The 21553-nt window shown below is 39.3% G+C and overlaps 1 protein-coding gene, 1 non-coding gene and 1 pseudogene across 2 annotated transcripts in view; all 3 read left to right on the forward strand.

Moving 5' to 3' along the window:
• Positions 1-20789, forward strand: part of MED17 (mediator complex subunit 17) — a 30682-nt gene extending 9893 nt beyond the window's left edge. Inside the window, exons 6-12 of the mRNA NM_004268.5 lie at positions 734-886; positions 2236-2366; positions 3361-3545; positions 7661-7798; positions 13344-13461; positions 15543-15702; positions 17679-20789. Of these exons, the coding sequence (NP_004259.3) occupies positions 734-886; positions 2236-2366; positions 3361-3545; positions 7661-7798; positions 13344-13461; positions 15543-15702; positions 17679-17890 (1097 nt within the window). The 3' untranslated portion in view covers positions 17891-20789. The remainder of the gene's footprint in view (positions 1-733; positions 887-2235; positions 2367-3360; positions 3546-7660; positions 7799-13343; positions 13462-15542; positions 15703-17678) is intronic.
• On the forward strand, positions 400-598 carry LOC124902851 (uncharacterized; annotated as a pseudogene).
• On the forward strand, positions 3039-3139 carry LOC124902836 (small nucleolar RNA U13). The gene has a single exon (XR_007063021.1). It is a non-coding gene; the product is annotated as a small nucleolar RNA U13 (small nucleolar RNA).

Raw genomic sequence — 21553 nt, forward strand, 5'->3', positions numbered from 1 at the left:
AAACTATTAGTGAATAGCTGTGCAATTTTTTTTTTTTTTTTTTTTTTGAGACCAAGTTTCTCTCTTGTTGCCCAGGCTAGAGTGCAATGGCGCAGTCTCGGCTCACCGCAACGTCTACCTCCCAGGTTCAAGCGATTCTCCTGCCTCAGCCTCCCGAGTAGCTGGGATTACAGGCATGCGCCACCATTCCTGGCTAATTTTGTATTTTTAGTAGAGATGGGGTTTCTCCATGTTGGTCAGGCTGGTCTCGAACACCCAACCTCAGGTAATCCACCCGCCTTAGCCTCCCAAAGTGCTAGGATTACAGGCATGAGCCACCAGCACCTTTTTTTAAGATTGGACTTATTTACTGGTTTTTTGTGTTAAAGAAGTGAGATTTTTATATTTTGGAAAGAATATAGCTTTGCACAGTGGCAGTATCAAACCCAGTGAGGTTTATCTGTGGCATGATTATTGCTAATTGATACTTCCCTCTACAGGAATTTAAACTTTCCTCTTCAGGAATGAAAGATTGGGGTGGTGGGGAACTTCTCAATACCCTGCCGGGATGATTTGTAACACAGTTGGCATTGGCAATTTTTGACAGTCTCTATAGAGACTGAATAGGAAAAAAAAGAATATACCGTAATGTAGTGTTTTCCTAAACTTTTGTCATATGTATTCAGATCACCATTTAAACTAGTTAATGCATAATATGGTTAGATAATTGATACATATATTTCTTGTCTTTCAGGTTCCCCACATTGGCAGACAAAATTAGAAGCGGCACAGAATGTTCTCTTATGTAAAGAAATTTTTGCACAGCTCTCTCGGGAAGCTGTTCAAATTAAATCACAAGTCCCTCACATTGTGGTGAAAAACCAGATTATCTCTCAGCCCTTTCCGAGTAAGAGCAGCCCTTTTTCGACTTTATGAACAGGACTTTGTGTTTTGGGGGACTAGGACAGAGAAGGTAGCTCTTAGGGTGTATTGGGAGAATAATGAGAGCAAAGAAATAGTGTGCTATCCATAGTGACAGCCAGTAAAGCATGTAACACAAACTATACTGTGGAATCTGTTCTGTCCTAAATAGTGTGACCCTTGGATTTTTAAGCTACATATTAAAAATTTGCACTTATGTAGTCATTATTGTGGTCAAGAGAAAAGAAAATTTGCACTAGCATAGCTATAGTTATTTAGCAACAGTTGCTTTGAGGGAGATTTTTTCAGGGATCCTGCCTTATTATCTAAATGAGAGGCCAATTTAAAAATGTTTACTCTTAACGCCTGTCATCCCAGCACTATGGGAGGCCGAGGCGGGCATATCACCTGGGGTCAGGAGTTTGAGACCAGCCTGGCCAACGTGGTGAAATCCCATTTCTACTAAAACAAACAAACAAACAAATTAAAAAAAAAAAAAAGAGTTTACTCGTAATAGTCTCAAATTTATAGAAACTGGATTTTAATTATATTATTCAAAAGCAGGTAGACTTGCCCTGGAGATCAGTTTGTATTTAGCTTTGCACTTGTTTTTTACATAAATTCTAAGGACTGTCGTCTTAGAAGGAAGTAGGTTTTAGTGGTGAGAAATTCCATCCTACTTCTCATGGGAGCAGGGAAGACTAACTGTCTTTTACGCAGTAAGACTGCCTACCTACTCTTATTTTAAAGGAAAAAACAAATTAATATATAGCTTTTTCACCAGTCTTTAGCCAGTTCAAGGGCAGCAGCCATATTATGTGTCAACAGAATTTGAATTGTTAAAATACGTGGTAGCTTATTATATTCATGAATAGTTTTTTTTTTTTTTTGAGATGAAGTTTCCGTTTTGTTGTCCAGGCTGGAGTGCAATGGCGTGATCTTGGCTCACTGCAACCTGTCCACTTCCCGGGTCCAAGCAATTCTCCTGCCTCAGCCTCCCAAGCAGCTGGGACTACAGGCACACGCCACCATGCCCAGCTAATTTTTTTTGTGTTTTTAGTAGAGATGGGGTTTCACTATGTTGGCCAGGATGGTCTCAATCCCCTGACCTTGTGATCCACCCACCTTGGCCTCCCAACATGCTGGGATTGCAGGCGTGAGCCACCGCACCCGGCCAAATAGTAATCTTGATATACAGATGTTAATCATGAGGTCTGATCTTCAAGTTTAGAATATATCTTTTGAAAATGAACTATGATTATACTTTATGAAGACAGTTTATGCCTTTCCATATTTCAGGTTATTTACATATGTCCTCCTTCTTTTTATAAATAGGCTTGCAGTTATCTATTTCTTTGTGCCATTCCTCAAATGATAAGAAATCCCAAAAATTTGCTACTGAGAAGCAATGTCCGGAGGACCACCTTTATGTCCTAGAGCATAATTTGCATCTACTGATTAGAGAGGTAAGGAAATAAATGTTTTTCTTTGCGCTGTGGTGAGTATGTCCAGGGCAGTGAGTATGCACAAAGCTCCTCTCGTCTGCTGAGTCTTGATTATTCACATAGCAACAACATTCACTGTCTGATGTGAAAGATCCTTGCTGTGTGCTAGGGGAATACAGAGATAATCACAATACTGTCCCTGTTCCCAAACATACCTTCTAGTGGTAGAGATACACAGGTTTTCAAGTAGAGGTGTAAGAAACATGATGCTAAAGTGCAGAGGGAAGGGTGATTCTGACCGGGGGAGTTAAGGGAAAATGTCTTGCCAGAGTCTGTGAACAGACTAGTTTTATTTTAGGACATGTTCTACTTACAGATCATCTACAACTGTTTACAGGGAGCTGGTTCACAGGCCAGGGTAATTTCAAAAGAATATCCTGTGAAATTTCATAGAATTATATATTACAGCCTCCCTTGCCCCACCCCAAAACCTGGTTCAGTTGATTGTGATGATGCAAGAGTTGTTTTTAAAAAGCTCCTTAGGAGGTTCAGATAGGCAGCCGGGTTTGGGAACCTCTAATCTAGGGTATAGTGAAAGAACTATTTACTGATTGCATGCGTTCTATTTATGAGACTCAGTGAAGAGGATTGTTTTACATTTTAAAACTTGTAAAATAAAAATTAAAGCTTGAGATCCTTTTGTGGTTCAAAAGCATGATTGGGCTTTCATGCTTATGCATGAGTTGTGACTCCCTCAAACCTTATTAGGATGTCGGCGCATTACCCATCTGACATGAGAAAAGGAAAAAAGTTACAGCTTGAGAGCGACCCTTCTCTTTACAGTCTTGCATTATGTGTGACCTAGTAGTTGCTAGCATTTTTCTCCAAGGTTGGATTGTTTTCATATGTGGTTCAAATCCATTCCTTTCAGTGTTTCTGTCAACCATGTTTTGACTAAATATTATGTAGCATTTACTATGTGGATATTGGTATTTAAAATGGCTGTTTTTGTTAGTTTCATAAACAGACCTTGAGTTCCATCATGATGCCTCATCCAGCAAGTGCACCTTTTGGCCACAAGAGAATGAGACTTTCGGGTCCTCAAGCTTTTGATAAAAATGAAATTAATTCATTACAGTCCAGTGAAGGGCTTCTGGAAAAAATAATTAAACAAGCAAAGCATATTTTTCTAAGGAGTAGGTAAGGTTGAAGAAAGTTACTGTTTTCTGTTTTTTCTTTGAAATTGCAGTGTTTTCTTCTGTTATTTCATAACACTTTTTTGGGATGCTTTTGACTTTTTTATTTTAGGGAGAGGAGGTGGTAAGAGTTTATTTGCGGTCATAGACTGGGTCCTGTCAAGTCTGGGGAAGACTTAGATCCACTTCTGATCTAACAGTGTATTCTTTCTAACACTGTCACTTTTTTGCAAAGACAACTGACTAGGAATGTGCCTTACAACACCATACTTTCTTCAGTAACCCAGCCGTGAGATACTTATTTCTGAACTGATTTACATCTTTTTCTTGAGGGTTTCTGTATTTTTTGTTTCTTGCACATTTTAGAGTTTGGAGGGCACTTTCCTTATGTTAACTTATTTAATCTTTGTTCTTTGCGGCAGGTAGTGTTAACCCTGTTTTTACTGATAAGATTGAGGCTTAAAGAAGTTATGCACCTTGCTCAAGGTTACACAGCTAAAAAGTTGCAGAACGAGGATTTATGCCCAGGTCTATGTAACGCCAAAGCTCTTTTTTTTCCTTTATATACACTGCTTACAAAATAACGTGGCATGATTACATATAAATGTATCTTTTTCAGTGCTAAAGGGTGCTTTTCTATTTTATTATTGGTACTTAGTGAAAAGGCCTGTTTTTTACTTCATTTGTAATTATGCCTTGGTAGTACTCCAGAATTTCAGGCATGGGCATTGTCATTAAATAGATGATATTTTATTTTTGATTTCCAGTTTTTTTCTTGTTAATACAGTTTTTTTTAGTACATTAGTTTGTAGTCTTAAAGTGGAAATTTAGGTCCTTCAGCTTTTAGTAAAAGGAATTGGGGAGACACGTTAGAGAAGACAGCATGAGGCAGTGAAAGGAGTAGGGGACTAGGGGTGAAAGGTGTGTAAGCCAAGGCTCAACCACTTGCTAAATAACTTCGAGCAAGGGATTTAGTGTCTATGGTCCCCCACTTATTCCCGTCAATAGCAGGTATAGGAGTGGGGTCTTAGGGTCATATTAAATGATGTATGTAGAAGTTTCTTATAAGTAATAAAGCATTATATGATAGGTTACTGTTTCTTACCATTAATACAGTTCAACTTAAAAAGCTGATAATTTGAGTAGATCGTTAGTCTTGCAAATTTCTGATTGACCATAAATTTAAATATTCCCCAAATAAATGATCAGCATAAAAACAGCTATTTTTATAACCATTATAAATTTCAGAGTAGTAAGTGTAGCCTTGGAAGCAGCAAAGCTTTAAAACTTTTACTTCTTCCTGGTGTACAAAAAGCTTAGTGAAGAAAAAAAGACCCTGTCTGGGCATGGTGGCTCACCCCTGTAGTCCCTACACTTTAGGAGGCCAAGATGGGAAGCTTGCTTGAGCCCAGGAGTTTGAGACCAGCCTGGGCAACATAGTGAGACCTTGTCTCTACAAGAAATTTTTTTTTTTTTTTTTTTTTGAGACGAAGTCTCACTGTGTCACCCAGGCTGGAGTGCAGTGGTGCAGCTCACTGCAAGCTCTGCCTCTCGGGTTCAAGCGATCATCCCGCCTCAGCCTCCCAAGTATTTGGGATTACAAGTGTGCGCCACCATGCCTGGCTCATTTTTGTATTTTTAGTAGAGTTGGGGTTTCACCATGTTGGCCAGGCTGGTCCCGAACTCCTGACCTCAAGTGATCCACCCACCTTGGCCTCCCAAAGTGCTGGGATTACAGGCGTGGGCCACCGTGCCTGGCCAGGAAGCCTTTTTAAAAAAAGTAGCTGGGCTTGGTGTGGTGGCTCATGCCTGTAAACTCAGCACTCAGGGAGGCTGGGCAGATCCCTCAAGTCCAGGAGTTTGAGACCTGCCTGGGCAACATGGCCCATCTCTACAAAAAAATAAAAAAAATTAGCCAGATGTGGTGGTGTGCACCTGTAGTCCCAGCTACTTGGGAGGCTGAGGCTGGAGGATTGCATGAGCCTGGGATGTTGAGGCTGCAGTGAGCTGTGATCACACCCCGCTACACTCCAGTTGGGATGACAGAGTGAAACCATGTCTTAAAAAAGACAAAAAGACTGATGTGTATGATAACATGCACAGTGAGATCTCTTGACATGCTAATATATTTTTATGTGTATGTGTCAGAGTGTGTGTGTGTGTCTTTAAAGAAAAATCGGAGTTTATAAAATTTTATATCCTTCTGAGTTCATACCTCAGGGGTGACACCAAAACAAACAAATTTTTTACCTTGCATTCATTTAATATTGTATTGTAAATTTTTTCATCTATTTTAATAGCTGTATAATATCCTATAATGTAAATACTTCATGATTTCTTTTCCCAATTTTCCATTGCTAGATAATTTTATTTCCAGTTTAATGGTTCTCGTAATGCTCACACACATACTTACCTTCTATAGGAATTATGAAGCACTGTCAGGGAAACACATCAAGGAAAAAGGAAAATAAATTTCAGAATGTATTGTAAGAAGCCGGTACTGCAGCAGCAGACCAAACCCTAAGTCTATTAATGTAAAAGCCCCTTGTCCCCACTGGCTCTTCTCATTTCTTCCCATTGTCTTTTAAAATTAAATTTATTTTTATTATTATTTTTTTAATTTTGAGGTGAGGCGTGGCATGGTGGCTCATGCCTGTAATCCTAGCACTTTGAGAGGCCAAGGAGGGCAGATCACTTGAGGTCAGGAGTTCTACACCAGCCTGGCCAACATGGCGAAACCTCGTTTCTACTAAAAATAGAAAAATTAGCCAGGCGTGGTGGCACACGCCTGTAGTCCCAGCTACTCGGGAGGCTGAGGCAGGAGAATCACTTGAACCTGGAAGGTGGAGGTTGCAGTGAGCTGAGATTGCACCACTGCACTCCATCCTGGGTGATAGAGTGAGACTTTGTCTCAAAAAAAAAAAAAAAAAAAATTTGAGACAGCATCTTACTCTGGCTTAGACTGGAGTGCAGTGCAGTGGTGGAGTCATAGCTCACTGTAACCTGGAACTGCTGGGTTCAAGTGATCTTCCTGCCTTAGTCTTTTGAGTAGCAGGGACTACTCGTGCACGCCACTGTGCCCAGCTTATTTTTTTTTTATTTATAGAGACTGGTTGTCGATATGTTGCTCAGGTTTGTTTTGAACTCCTGGTATCAAGCGATCGTCCCTCCTTGTCCTCCCAAAGTGTTTTGATTACAGGTGTGAGCCACTTCCAGGCCTTTCTTTCTCTTTCCAGTAAAGTGCTAAAAATCAGATAATTAGAAACTGAGGGTTTGGTTAATTTAAATGATTTATGCTTTGGTTCTAAGTGTTGGCTGTTGATTAGTGTGTATAAGATTACTGGCTTTGGAATTGGATTCCCAGGTTTTTGGCTCTGGATTTAGACTCCCAGGTTTTGTATCCCAGTTTATAGCTATGTGACCTTGGGCAAATTGCTTAACATTGCTAAAGTTTTTTCTGTTTAAAAAATGGAAATAATAGTGCCTACCTAATAAGGTTAAGATTAAATGATATGTTAGTAAGATTAAATGATATAATTCATGAAAGCTCTTGTTATAATGCATGCTGTATAATGAACACTTGATAAATCTTATTTCTCATTGGTATTGATAGTTTTCTTTTTTTGGAGTATAAGGATTTGATTGTGCAAAAAATCTCTAGCTTCTCTTGAATATGATTATAATTTCATTACAGTAATGGGTCTAGATGTGGGTGTGTCCCAAGTCATTTGTTACCAGGGATCAAGTACTGACATTTATGAATGATTTATATTAGGTTTATACCGTAGAATATCGAATATCCTTCTCACTCATTTCCTGATAAGCTTTTCTGAGTGGAAGAAAATGAATAGAGTTAAAGGGAATAAACCCATCATGAATCATGATAATCAGGGGTGTGTGATGAGAGTGTATTGTAATGTCAAGCTGAGAACCTACACATTCAAGCAGTATGAAAGGGTTCTTAGAGCTACCTCTGCCTTTATTTAAAGTCTGCCTACACATAGTGGTAGTTTAAAAAAGTAGTTAGTTTTAAAATTTTCATAAAATTTTCGAATCATTTATATTCCTATCATTTTGTATGGTGACTTAAAAAGTTTTTTAACTTCTTGTATTTAAAAGAGCTGCTGCAACCATTGACAGCTTAGCAAGCCGAATTGAGGATCCTCAGATACAGGCTCATTGGTCAAATATCAATGATGTTTATGAATCTAGTGTGAAAGTTTTAATCACATCACAAGGCTATGAACAAATATGCAAGTAAGTGGCCAAAATAAAAGTTTTGTATTTAATATGTTAATTTGCTATTGATGTTTGCTGAGTAATTATATTAAGCATTTGGTTTTTATTTGCTAGGGTGGCATAATATTTCTGTAAATTATATAAGCTGTAGAGTGTTTTTTTTTTTAATAGGTGGAGTCTCACTCTTTTACCCAGGTTGGAGTGCAGTGATGATCATATCTGACTACAGCCTTGAGCTCCGGGGTTCAAGGAATTCTTTTGCCTCAACCTCCTGAGTAGCTGGGACTATAGGCATGTGCCCCCATGCCCAGCTAATTAAAAAAATTTTTTTTAAGAAACATGTCTATGTTGCCCATGCTGGTCTTGAACTCCTGGACTCCAGCAATCCTGCTGTCTTGGCCTCCCAAAGTGCTGGGATTACAGGCATGAGCCACCACTCCCGGCCCTTGTTTTTTTGTTTTTTTGATGGCAATTAGTTCTTAGGAGAAAATTCATAAAGTCTGTTTTTAAACATTGTAAGAATGAGAGGTAACAATGTCTAAAAACTAGTCTTTATTAAGTAAATGTCACATATTTGAGCTGGGGTAAACAATGAACCCCGGCACTGAGCAGAAGGCTGCCTTACCTTTTGAGATTCCAGGTCTGCTTCAGTTCTTGCCTAATGGTTATGGCAGGTCTAGTATATTTGAAGTGAATAGGGCCATTTGTATTCTAGCCTATACTCTCCATGTTATGCCTAAAATAACCCAAGTTTTATAGTTCTCATGACCTGGTGTTGATCCTGGGTCTAATCAAGTTCATGATTATGCCCTAAAAACTGGGTTGATAACTGTGTGTCTGTGAAGGAGGTAAGATGGTTTTTGTCCCCAGGCTTCATAGGAATGCAGTCTACTTGATTTACATTCACAAATCACAAGTTAATGCAATTGGCCAGTAGCCTTTAAGGACTTTTTGGCCTACCTTTTGAGCCTTTTTGAAATTTAACACCTGACATTTGTCAGGGTCTGTGACTACATTTTATTTTTAAAGTGTTAGTTGCTTTATTTCCTTTTTGTCTCAGTTTGTGTTTTTGAGATGGCGTCTCACAATGCTGTTGTCCAGGCTGATCTCAAACTCTTGGGCTCAAGCAGTCCTCCTGCTTCACCCTCCTGTGTAGCTGGGACTACAGGTGTGCACTACGATACCCTTAGTTGCTTTATTTCAGCAGACGTAACTAGCCACAGTAAAGCAAAGCATACTGTGAAACACAAAATAACGACCCTTAGGAGTAGGGGCAGAAAAATACATTTATAATGCTATTGTTTTCTTTCTTTTTGATTTTTCCTATGTACAGTCATTTCCAATATAATACTATTTTTAATGCAGAGGTTTTAATTCACTTAAAAAATGAAAACATAGTAGATAAGTGTGAGAGCAGATGCAGAGTATGAAAGAATACACAATGGACAGGAAACTAGTCCTGAAACTTCCAGAGAAAGATGATGGAATAAAGTAGAGTCATAGAGTTTTCTTCCCCTTATCTAAAGAAAGAATAAAATAATTGGGGTGATTTGAGGGTGGATTGGGAGAAAGTAGGTGTTAAACATAGATGAAACAAGTTTGGATTGCATTTTTAACTTAAGAATGGGTGATGGGATTATAGGCTTTCATTATATTATACTTCTGTTGGTGTTTATTATTTATTTGCCAGTAAGCCTTTTGCCCTCCTACTGTTTGTGTTTAAAATTTTCCATAGTAAAAAGAGAGACTGAGTGCAATGGAAAAGAAAAGAGAAAATTATCATCATTGAATTGTTTAGACTTAGAACTAAGACTAAAACTGGGATTATGGTTACAGGTCCCAATCTAAACGTTGTAAACTTCCACAAAGAAAGATTAGTGATGATGTAGCCTTGACAGAATCAGGAGTGAAGGAGAAGTAGAAGGCAGTAGTAGAATGCCCTTTTCCTCATCTTCTATAGCTCGTGTATTAGGGTTCTCTAGAGGGACAGAACTAATGGAATGTGTATGTGTGTATATGTGTGTGTGTGTGTATATATGTGTGTGTATATATATATATATATATATATATATACACACACACATATACACACGCACACACACACACATAAAGGGGAGTTTATTAAGTATTAACTCACAGGATCAGAAGGTCCCACAATAGGCCATCTGCCGGCTGAGAAGCAAGGAGAGTCAGTCCAAGTTCCAAAACTAAAGAACCTGGAGTCTGTTGTTCAAGGGCAAGAAGCATCCAGCACGAGAGAAAGATGTAGGCTGGGAGGCTAGGCCAGTGTCTCTTTTCACGTTTTTCTGCCTGTTTATATTCTAGCCCCACTGGCAGCTGATTAGATGGTGCCCACCCAGATTAAGGGTGGGTCTGCCTTTCCCAGCCCACTGACTTAAATGTTAATCTCCTTTGCACCCTCACAGACACACCTAGGACCAGTACTTTGTATCCTTCAATCCAATCAAGTTGACAGTGTTAACCATCACAGCTGGGCTCAACTTAGGCTATTGAAAGTTGAAAATAATTATCAGAATTCCTTTGGATCAATCATTTAAAACAGTTTCTTACACATCTTTCTAGGAAAGTCTATGTATTTACAAGCATATATATCCTACCTGTTCCTGTAACCGACCTCTCTTTAAAAACTTTTTTTTTACATATGCATGTAGAAGTTATGTAACCCTACCTGTCTTACAGAGTTTTGTATGCTTTCTAGCAACATAATACACATAACAAAATTCACCATTTTAAAGTGGACACAGTTCAGTGGTCTTTAGTATATTCCCTATGTTGTATAACCATCATCGTCTAATTATTGAACATTTCCATCACCCCAAAAAGAAACTCTACATATTAGCAGTCATTTGTAATTTACGTGATTTTTAAACTCAGTAGTGTTTTAGTTCAACTTATGCAGGTAGGCTTAATGATCAGAATACAATGGGATCAATTAGGAAAAACTATATACAGGAAATGCTTTACAGAGTAGTAGACCCTTTTTATGTGGACTATTTTAATAAGGTTTAAAATATGTGGATTATTCTGCATTCTTCTCAGTTAAAATTATTCATGTGGCCATAAGGTCCAGAAATGCAGACAAGACACATAATGAATAATTTATTGCTCAGTAGTCATATATGAGTGAGTAAACATTATTTTGTTAGCACATAGATCTACCTCATTTTTTTCTTACAGCCTTTTTGTATTTCATTGTATGTCCCACACTGTTAATCGGTCTTCTGTTGTTGAACATTTTTGTCGAGTACCAGGAAAATAATTTGTACATACACAGGTCTATCCATTTATAGGGTAAAGTCCTACAAGTATAATTGCTGGGTTAAAAGAGAAGGACATTTGGCTGGGCACAGTGGCTCATGCCTGTATCCCCAGCATTTTGGGCGGAGCACTTGAGGCCAGGAGTTCAAGCCCAGCCTGGCCAACATGATGAAACCCTGTCCCTACTAAAAACAAAAATTAGCTGGGTGTGGTGGTACATGCCTGTAGTCCCAGCTACTTGGGAGACTGAAGTGGGAGAATCATTTGAACCCAGGAGACAGAGGTTACAGTGAGCTGAGATTGTGCCACTGCCCTCCAGCCTGGGTGATAGAGTGAGATCCTGTCTCAAAAAAAAGATAAGGACATTTAAATTTTTAATTAGTACTACCAAATTGTTTTTCAAAGTGGTTGCCACAAGTATGCATTCACCAATAGTGAGTGATAAGAAACCCTGTTCCTTCACACCTTGTTTTAAGAAAAGAATTCTAAAATGTTGGTTAGATTAATATATCTTCAAGCCTTTTGAGTTTCGTTTTTCTTTGAGAAAACAATGTAAACTTTAGTACATCAAAATTACAACTTAAGCCAGGCATGGTTGCACACACCTGAAGTCCCAGCTTCTCAGGAGGCTGAGGCGGGAGGATCACTCAACGTCAGGATTTCAAGGATGCAGTGCGCTATGATGGCACCATGGATAAAACCACTGCTTTCCAGCCTGGGCAACATAGCAAGACCCTGTCTCTTTTTTTTTTTTTTTTTTTTTTTTTGAGATGGAGTTTTGCTCTGTCGCCAGATCGGAGTGCAGTAGTGTGATCTTGGCTCACTGCAACCTCTGCCTCCCGGGTTCAAGCAATTCTGCCTCAGCCTCCCAAATAGCTGGGACTACAGATGTGTGCCACCACGCCCACCTAATTTTTGTATTTTTAGTAGGGGTTTCACCATGTTGGCCAGGATAGTCTCGATCTCTTGAGCTTGTGACCGCCTGCCTCAGCCTCCCAAAGTGCTGGGATTACAGGCGTGAGCCACTGTGCCCAGCCTTTATTTTTTTTTATTACAATTTTATGTAGACAATCACTAAAATGCTTTATTCTCAAATATTTGCTTTAAAACAAAGCTAGAAGGAAGAGCCATTATTAAATGTGAGAGGACATAAAGCTGTTTTTTCCTGCATTTTGTTCATCTAGGTTATTAGGGATTTCAAGTTTCTTGGACATATTACATGCTGAAATTTTAGAAGTTGCTTTGGAAGAGTGCAGTGATGTGCTTGTTATTTACTGGCTATTGTATGAGTTTCTTTATTTGACCTAAGCCAAATTAATGGAGTATATATATTCTGACTTGTTTGCTGATTATTTCAGTAAGAGAAGGTAAAGAGTTAACAAAACCGCTTCTCTTTCTGTACGAGAATTTGCTCCTTGGTTAACGCTGGCTCTCATCCCTTGGAAACCTGATAAGGAAAGATGTCATCAGTATTACTAGGCAACATTGCTTATAGTAAAAATGATCTCAAATTGGTAAAATGCATCTGAACCAGGAGAAATTTTAAATAAATGATGGGAATGCCTTTGGATTTTCCTGGATGGTGGTGACTTTTAAAACTGGGCTTGGCTTGTGGAAACCATGCCTATGGAGTTGTTACAGAAGCTTATGGCTCCTGTTAGGGCAGGGCCCACATATACCCAATTGGATCTCATCTCCTTGCAACAAAGGTATTCTGCTGCTATATAGACAGTTGCATGGTCTGCTGGCAAGCTGTGGTCGCTTCAAATGCTTCTGGGTAGACTGGTACTCAGTGTGGTCTATGGTATTCTGGGGTGAGTCTGTTTAGTTGAACCTAAGAAGACACCTGCATCTCCTCCATGGATGTTGGTGTGGGTTATTAAAACTTTTTTTTTTGGCCGGGTGCAGTGGCTCAGGCCTGTAATCCCAGCACTTTGGGAGGCCGAGGCAGGTAGATCACTTCAGGTCAGGAGTTTGAGACCAGCCTGGCCAACATGGTGAAATTCCGTCTCTACTAAAAATAACAAAAATTAGCCGGGCATGATGGCAGGTGCCTGTAATCCCAGCTACTTGGGAGGCTGAGGCAGGAGACTCTCTTGAACTCAGGAAGCGGAGGTTGCAGTGAGCTGAGATCACGCCACTGCACTCCAGCCTGGGCAACAGGCTTTGAGACTTTGTCTAAAAAATAATAATATTTTCTAATTTGATGTTAACGTTTATTATTTATGAAATTGTATAAGATAATTTTGAACATCTCTGATTTTTAGTATGTGTGTCTATAAAGGTCCATTCAACTGCAATTGAATATTGGAGTTGAGCAGATTCGAGTTGTACATAGAGATGGAAGAGTAATTACACTGTCTTATCAGGAGCAGGAGCTACAGGATTTTCTTCTGTCTCAGGTAACAGTTGCAGATTTTGTCTTAAGCCCCCTTCTTCGCATAGCTACTTAAAGAACAAATTGGTTAAAAAGTAGTTAAAATGTAATAAATTGTGTAAGAAGAAAAAAAATTTTTTTCCAGTAGAAATTAAATTCTGTTTAATTTCTAATGCACATTTTACAACCTGTTGGTTAACTGGAAGTACTGATAAGCTGTCCTAGGTTTTCACATAGTTTATGTTAAGATGAAGGACCAGTTCTGAGACTAGCAAGTTTTTTTTCCCACATGTCATATTTGTGAAGGTTTACAAAATCTCTAGGGTTTACAACATCTCCAGAGTTGTTGTAGAAAGTGAAGAAAACTAGAGAAAGGGAGATCATATAAAAAACTATAATGACCATTATCCATAATAAATGAAGTAGTTTAATCTCAAGTCCAAGGGGCAGTATAGAAAGTGATGGGTTTGAGGCTGGGTATGGTGGTTTGCGCCTATAATCCCAGCACTTTGGGAGGCTGAAGCGAGAGTATCACTTCAGGTTGGGAGTTCAATACCAGCCTGGGCAACATAGCAAGACCCCTGTCTCCACAAAAATAGAAAATTGAGTGGGTGTGTTGGTATGTACCTATAGTCATAGCTATTAGGGAGGCCGAGGCAGGAGGGTTGCCTGAGCCTGGGTGTTCAAGGTTACAATGAGCTATAATTGGTCCCACTGTACTTCAGCCCAGGGTGACAGAGCAAGATACCATCTCTTTTTAAAAAAAAAAAAAAAAAAAAAAAGGTGATGTGTTCTAGTCCCAGCTCTACGACAAACTTGCTTTGTGACATCAGACAAATTTCTAGCCCTTTCTTTTCATATCTAACTGTATTTTCCCTAATTTCTTCATGGAGTTTTTAATGACCCAGTGAAATACTGAATTGTGAGATATAGGGTAGGTTTTTGAAATGCTAATGCAAGATACTATTTTTTTTTCACATTAAAAAAAATAGTATCTTGCATTAGCATTTCAAAAACCTACCCTATATCTCAGAAGCAATAATCTTATATACTGATTTGCTTCTTTGGTGGCCAAGTAAGTAAAATTCATTTGTTAGGTATGGCAGCTCTTGGCTGATTACATCTAAATTGGCTTTGGTTACTTTAAGCACACACACAAAAATATATTAGAACACTATTGAGTAGGTCCCAGAATCAATGGGAGGTCTAGAGAACAAGGCTTGCAAATGGATAGGGATCAAAGCTAGGTATGAGAACCATGGCCAGAGGAATGGCACTCATGCTGTCCCAGCACTACTGCCTTCAGCACTGGTGACAAAATGCATTCTAAATTGCCCCCATTGTATCAGTCAGAGTCTTAACAAGAAATAGGTGGCAGACTCAGGAGGATCTAAAGATCTATTTACAAAGAAGTGGGTGTAGGTGAGCCACCAGGGATAGTGTGGTAACCTGCTGCTAGTAGTAGTAACCAGGTAACCAGGCCCCAGGGACTTAGTGGTCACCATTCCTAGGCCAAAGTTAAGAGGAAGGACAGATTACAAGAACCCTAAGGGGGAGAGTCGTGTAGAACAGTCCATCTTGAGAAGCCTAGCAGCCAGTCAAGAGATACAACCAGCCTAGACAACCTCACAGGGAGGGTGCCAGGGGAATAAATACCCTGACCTCACTCTTCCCTGCCATCCTGCTGTCTCCCATTACCTGAACCCAGCCCAAAGCCAGAGGATGTAAGAAGGTATTAATGTAACCACGTGTGTCAGCCTCCCAGGGCAGAAAATAAGGTAGGCAGTGGATTTGAAGGGGCAAATGTTACACCATATTCAGTGATCTAGATGAGAGTCTTCAGTTGGCCAAATTTATGTCATATGTCTTTGCTTAAGCTGCCAGTGGGCAGGAGAAGCAAGTATCAGGCAACTTTAGCTTTGGCAGTGGAAGGTGGAGTCCTATTCCCTCCCCCTAAGTTACGCACAGGAGGATTCCTCAGACCTAAGATAGGGTTGCTGTAGTAGTCAGTGAGCACCCCAACAAAAGTTTACTTCATGGTCGTGATGTTAAGTCACTGCAGATATCTCTGCTGACTGTCAGTCAAGTGTCCTTTTTCATTCACAGATGTCACAGCACCAGGTACATGCAGTTCAGCAACTCGCCAAGGTTATGGGCTGGCAAGTACTGAGCTTCAGTAATCATGTGGGACTTGGACCTATAGAGAGCATTGGTAATGCATCTGCCATCACGGTGGCCTCCCCAAGTGGTGACTATGCTATTTCAGGTACTTTCTGCTGCTTTGAATGAGAAGGGACCATTGGGAGTTTGGCTTTAACATTTAGTTTTAATAATTAAATATGGGTAAGAGTAATTTATCTCTGCAATAAATTAGTTAATGTTGTATTTACACCGAATGTTTATTTGATCATAGCTATTATGCAGAGCAAGAGATTATTATTTCTCTTTCTAGTAATTATAATAAATGTTTAGATTGGCAGCACATTTTCCTGAGATAGTCTGAAAAGTATCATCAGCATTGTTACTCCTGCAGTCCCAAAGTTTAATGGATAAAAACTTTAAAAAAAATATATACTGCTGTAAACATGGGAAGAAAAATATCTGATCCTAAAAATAGTAAAGGGATGGAACAGAGAGGAATATCTAATGCAAGGTACTACTTTTTTCACATTAAAAAAATAGTAACAGTTTTTAAAATATTCTAAAATAAATAATTAAAAATAATTTTAAATAAAGTGTTTTGTTTTATTTTATCTATTTATTTATTTTTGAGACGGAGTCTCGCTCTTTCGCTCAGGCTGGAGTTCAGTGGCGTGATCTCAGCTCACTGCAACCTCTGCCTCCCAGTTTCAAGCGATTCTCCTGCCTCAGCCTCCCGAGTAGCTGGGACTACAGGTGCCCATCGTCATACCCAACTAATTTTTGTATTTTTAGTAGAGACGGGGTTTTGCCATGTTGGCCAGGCTGGTCTCAAACTCCTAACCTCAGATGATCTGCCTGCCTCGGCTAACCTCAGATGATCCGCCTGCCTCGGCCTCCCAAAGCGCTGGGATTACAGGCGTGAGCCACCGCACCCGGCCGAGGAGAAGTATTTTATTAAGCACCTTCTACGAGTGGGCACTTTAATAGGCACTTGTATGAGTATTACATAGCTTAAATTTACATTTGAAGCGCTTATGGTTTTAGTGTGATCTTTGTTTCTGATATCTGCTCTGACTACTTTAAAAATACAGTCATGTGTTGCATAATGACAGGGACAGGTTCTGAGAAATGTGTTGTTAAGAGGATTTCATCGTATGATAATAGAGTGCACTTACACAGCCCTAGATGGTACAGCCTACTACATGCACATCTAGGCTTCATGGCATAGCCTGTTGCTCCTAGGCTACAAACCTGTACAGCATGTTACTGTACTGAATACTATAGGCAGTTGTAACACAACAAAAGCAGTTGACTGAAATGTTACGCAGCTCATGACTGTATTTGAAAGAGTGGGTAGTTAGAAATATTTCCTCACAGGATCACAGCTTGTGAATCTGCAAGCTTGGTCATTGCTGGATCTTGATTGCTAGGAATTTCAAAATACCCTTTTCCTCTTTCCCAAATAATAGTTAAAACCTCATTAAAACCTGAAATTCTTAATTCAGAATAATCTTTCCTTCATCCCTTTCAGTCCTGATTTTAAGTGGTTGAGGTTTCTTTACATATTAGGCATGTATTAACAATTCATTGAATGATTGCCTTATCAAATGAATGTATTGAAAAAAATAGGTGAGTGTACTAGGCGTGGTGGCTCACGCCTGTAATCCCAGCACTTTGGGAGGCTGAGGTGGGAGGATTGCTTGAGCCCAGGAGTTTGAGACCAGCCCTGGCAACATAGAGAGACCTTGTCTTTAACCGCCTCCCAAAAAAAGCTTTGTGTTTTTCAGTGCTGCATGTGGAAACAAACAAAAAGATGATTTCCTGAAATTATAGAGGACATTTGACATTCCTAGGTCAAAACTCACCTTGCTTAATCTTTGTGGTACAAATAATAATTCATGAATATTTATACCATCCTCTTATATAGAAGTTAGAGTTTTTCTCTTGCATGTTGAAACTGAAAAAGCACTTTTTTACAAGAATATTTAAGTTGGTAGACAAAGTTTTTGTATTCACAGTAGAATGGAGTTGTGGGATTTATCCTTGTTATTTCTAGTTTGGTAAACTAGAGTGTATTGATATTTTGGTTTTTCTCCACAGTTCGTAATGGACCTGAAAGTGGCAGCAAGATTATGGTTCAGTTTCCTCGTAACCAATGTAAAGACCTTCCAAAAAGTGATGTTTTACAAGATAACAAATGGAGTCATCTTCGTGGGCCATTCAAAGAAGTTCAGTGGAATAAAATGGAAGGTCGAAATTTTGTTTATAAAATGGAGCTGCTTATGTCTGCACTTAGCCCTTGTCTACTATGATTTTTTCCAGATGTTTCCTAAAGAAGTTTCCAGAAACTTTGACTTGAAATGTTTGCAGATCAACTATAAGCACAAAGAAGAGATAACTTCCAAAAGAGTGCTGTTTTTAAAAATAATAATTAGGAAATGTTTATTTAGCACTTTCAAACTTTTCACTTTATAAATGACAAGTGCTTTGAAATGCAGAAGTTTATGTACAGTTGTATATACAGTATGACAAGATGTAAAATAATATGTTTTTCATGCAGTTTAAAATATTACTAACTTAAGGGTTTCTATGTGCTTTTTAAAATATTCCTTCTTTGATGTTGACATCAAATAAAGTATGTGGTTTAAAAAAATCTCCAAATACCTTTTTTTCCCCCCAAATACTTTCTAAACTTTTTTTTTTTGAGATGGTATCTCACTCTGTAGCCCAGTCTGGAGTGCAGTGGTGTGATCATGGTTCACTGCAGTCTTGACCTCCCAGGCTTAGGTGATCCTTCTGTCTCAGCCTTCCGAGTAGCTGGGACCACAGGCATGCACAACCACGCCTGGCTAATTTTTGTATTTTTTATAAAGACAGGGTTTTTCCATGTTGCCCAGGCTGGTTTCGAACTCGGCTCAAGTGATCTACCTGCCTCTGCCTCCCAAAGTGCTAGGATTACAGGCGTGAGCCACCATGCCCAGCCTACTCTAAATTATTGATAACCTCTTCCTCCAGTTGTCTCCTTTAAGCTTTCCTGGGTCTAACCTACATAGGTAATTTAAGAACATCCTCAGAAAGGACAGCTGAAGGCAATAGGAGGCAGATTATCTCTTTAGGGCGTCCTCAAGTTTTTTTGGTCTGTTCTCCCACTTGATTGACCTCACCAGTTGAGACACCTAGTGTATGGCTCATGCCCAGCCTTCCACCTGGGATTCTCCAGCCTCCACCCAGCAGCCCTGGATTGCTTTCTCCAATTAAGGCCTTTCCATCAGCTCTCTGCTTTTTCAAAGCGAAAAAACTAATGGATTAGTGGGTTATCTTTTCCAAGGAACAGGTTTGCACTTCTTGGAAAAAGTGCCTAAAGTGTGCCCATTAATATGAGGATAGATTTAGGCTCATAAGCCTTTTGGTAACACTGAAAGTAGTATCATATAGGCAAGCTCTCCTTATAAGTAAGGCTTTCAATTTTTAAAACAGACATCCTGCTTTAACAATTTGTAAGATGACTGTGCAGTAATAAAAGTCCTTTGTATTTCTCCACCGTGTTTTCATTAAAGAAAAATGGAGCTTGTGGGCCACGATAGAACAACTTTGTGCTTTTTTCCCCTTCTGATCAAGATCTTGCATCTTTCTATCCATGGAAATTAAAATAATTGGTATGAATTTGCAGTTATTTAAAAATCTTGAGTGCTTCAAAAATTATTGTTGCCTGCAAAATTTGCCTTGGTCAATAGGCTAATCTGCACAATTCCACTCACATAAGGAGTCTTTTATGTGATTTTGAAGGCTCAGGCTAGAAGAGTGAGTCTGAGACTTTTGCTGAATGACCAGTTTTTGTTTATATAAACTTCTCCCATTGCAGATTGATACTTTGGTAAACTAATAAAAATGAATTCCTAAAATGAAATTTTGAAAAGATACAAAATAAAAGCCCCATTTATTTGATTATAACTTGATTAAATTGCATCAAATACTAGAATTTATAGACAGAGTCTCACTCTGTTCCCCAGGCTGGAGTGCAGCAGCACTGTTTTGGCTCACTGCAACCTCTGCCTCCTGGGTTCAAATGACTCTCATGCCTCAGCCTCCCGAGTAACTGGGATTACAGGTGTGTGCCACCACGACCGTCTAATTTTTGTAATTTTGATAAGAGGGTTTTGCCATCTTGGCCAGGCTGGTCTTGAACTCCTGGCCTCAATTGATCCGCCCACCTCGGCCTCCCAAAGTGCTAGGATTACAGGCATAAGCCACAGTGCCCAGCCCCCCCAAATATAAACATTTCTGAATGCTTTATTTTTTATTTCTCTGCTTGTCATGAATCAGTAACAAATCATGGACCAGGACCACACCTTGAGTAGAATGGCTGAGAATACATGTGCAGATACTACCGTCTGTTCTTTTAAACCCCATCTGAGTAGAGTGGGATAACTGAAGACTTTACGTTCTTCATGTCTTACTTTCCCTGTTTGGTACGTCGCTGTAGTGAGTAGCCAGTACCGACCTAAAGAATTGTAGAAACTAAAGCAAATGTGTGGGAAAATGGTAGCTTAGTTGCTGTGGTAGCAATTCTTATGCCTTGTATTTATTTACATTTTCTAGTTTAATGTTTTAACCTGAATTTCCTGGAGTTTGAAGGATGTGCTATGGAAACTTGGGAGACAGTTTGAAGAAAACCAATTAGCCCCTCAACAAGTATTAACAGGTTGGCAAGGAGCTGTGTTTGAATCTTGGCTCTGCTACTGGCTTGCTGTATGAACTTGGCAAGGATTCTCTGTGAACTTGTTTCCTTATATATAAATGAAGATAGAGGTGCCTCCTCTACTAACCTCAGTGGTGATTGAGAAGTTTCAGTAACGTTGGTAATAAATGTTAAATTCTAAAGTACTACATAAATATAAAGCATTAAGCAAGTGTGCTTCTAAGAGTCAAGCCAATTAGAAAAAATGGTTGAGACACCAGCTGTATTTATTAGGAGAAAGCATTTCAGAATGTCCTGTATTCATATTTGTATGATGTTTTATATATGGTGAAGATATTGAGTGTTTTTCATCAGATTTCTTTGCTGGAACACCATCAAATCAAAGGGATAACCTGATTATCTCATGTTGATCAGGAATTGTAATTGGCCCTTAAATGCTGGGATTACAGGTATGAGCCACCATGCCTGGCCTCCTTAGGTATTGCTGATGAATAAAAACAGGGGCAACTACATTATTTAGTAAGTTCACTTTGTTTAGTTGGAAAAAAATCCATTCAGAACATGAGGTACCCAAGGGAAAAATATTTGTACAGACAGAACTACCTGGGCAAGCACTAGCCTGTAACATCAAAGGAATTTAACCTACCTATGTGTGTGAGATGGAGCCGGGACCCCTTCTTAAAGGCCTGTGGGCGCCCTGAGCCTGAAAATAAAGGAAAATCTTGAATTCCTTTGAGGGAATTTCCAGGGTAGTGCTGAGACGTAAATAAGCAACTTGATAAGCAAGAAGGTAAGTGTAGTTTAAAACAATTGCCAAGGAAGTTAAGAGTCCAGATGCTTGGTTCCCTATAGAAACTAAAGATAACATCTTAAAATATGTCCCTGAGTTGTTTTCAGAATCTCAGATCCCCACCAAGTGGATTTGCTGGCATGTAGACCTCAGATAAGCAAGGACAACTTGGGCTGCCGTTCTTTGTTCTGAATTTTTTCCCGAGGGGCCTGGAGGAGGTCATGCCTGTGAGCTGGAGCTAACATTCTTTTCTGTTGACCCAAATTTTAGACAAAGCTTCTCCTTAGCCAATTGCAAATCAGAAAATCTTTGAATCCACCTATGACCTGTTGGCCCCTACTTCAAGATGTCCCACCTTTTACATCAAACCAATATATAGCCTCCGTGTATTGATTTATGACTTTGCCTGTAACCTCTGCCTCTCCACCTTTGTGGGTTTTTTGGGGTTTTCTTGTTTTTGTTTTTTGAGACAGGGTCTTGCTCTGT

Source organism: Homo sapiens, chromosome 11, assembly GCF_000001405.40.
Source record: "Homo sapiens chromosome 11, GRCh38.p14 Primary Assembly".
NCBI classification, from domain to species: domain Eukaryota; kingdom Metazoa; phylum Chordata; class Mammalia; order Primates; family Hominidae; genus Homo; species Homo sapiens.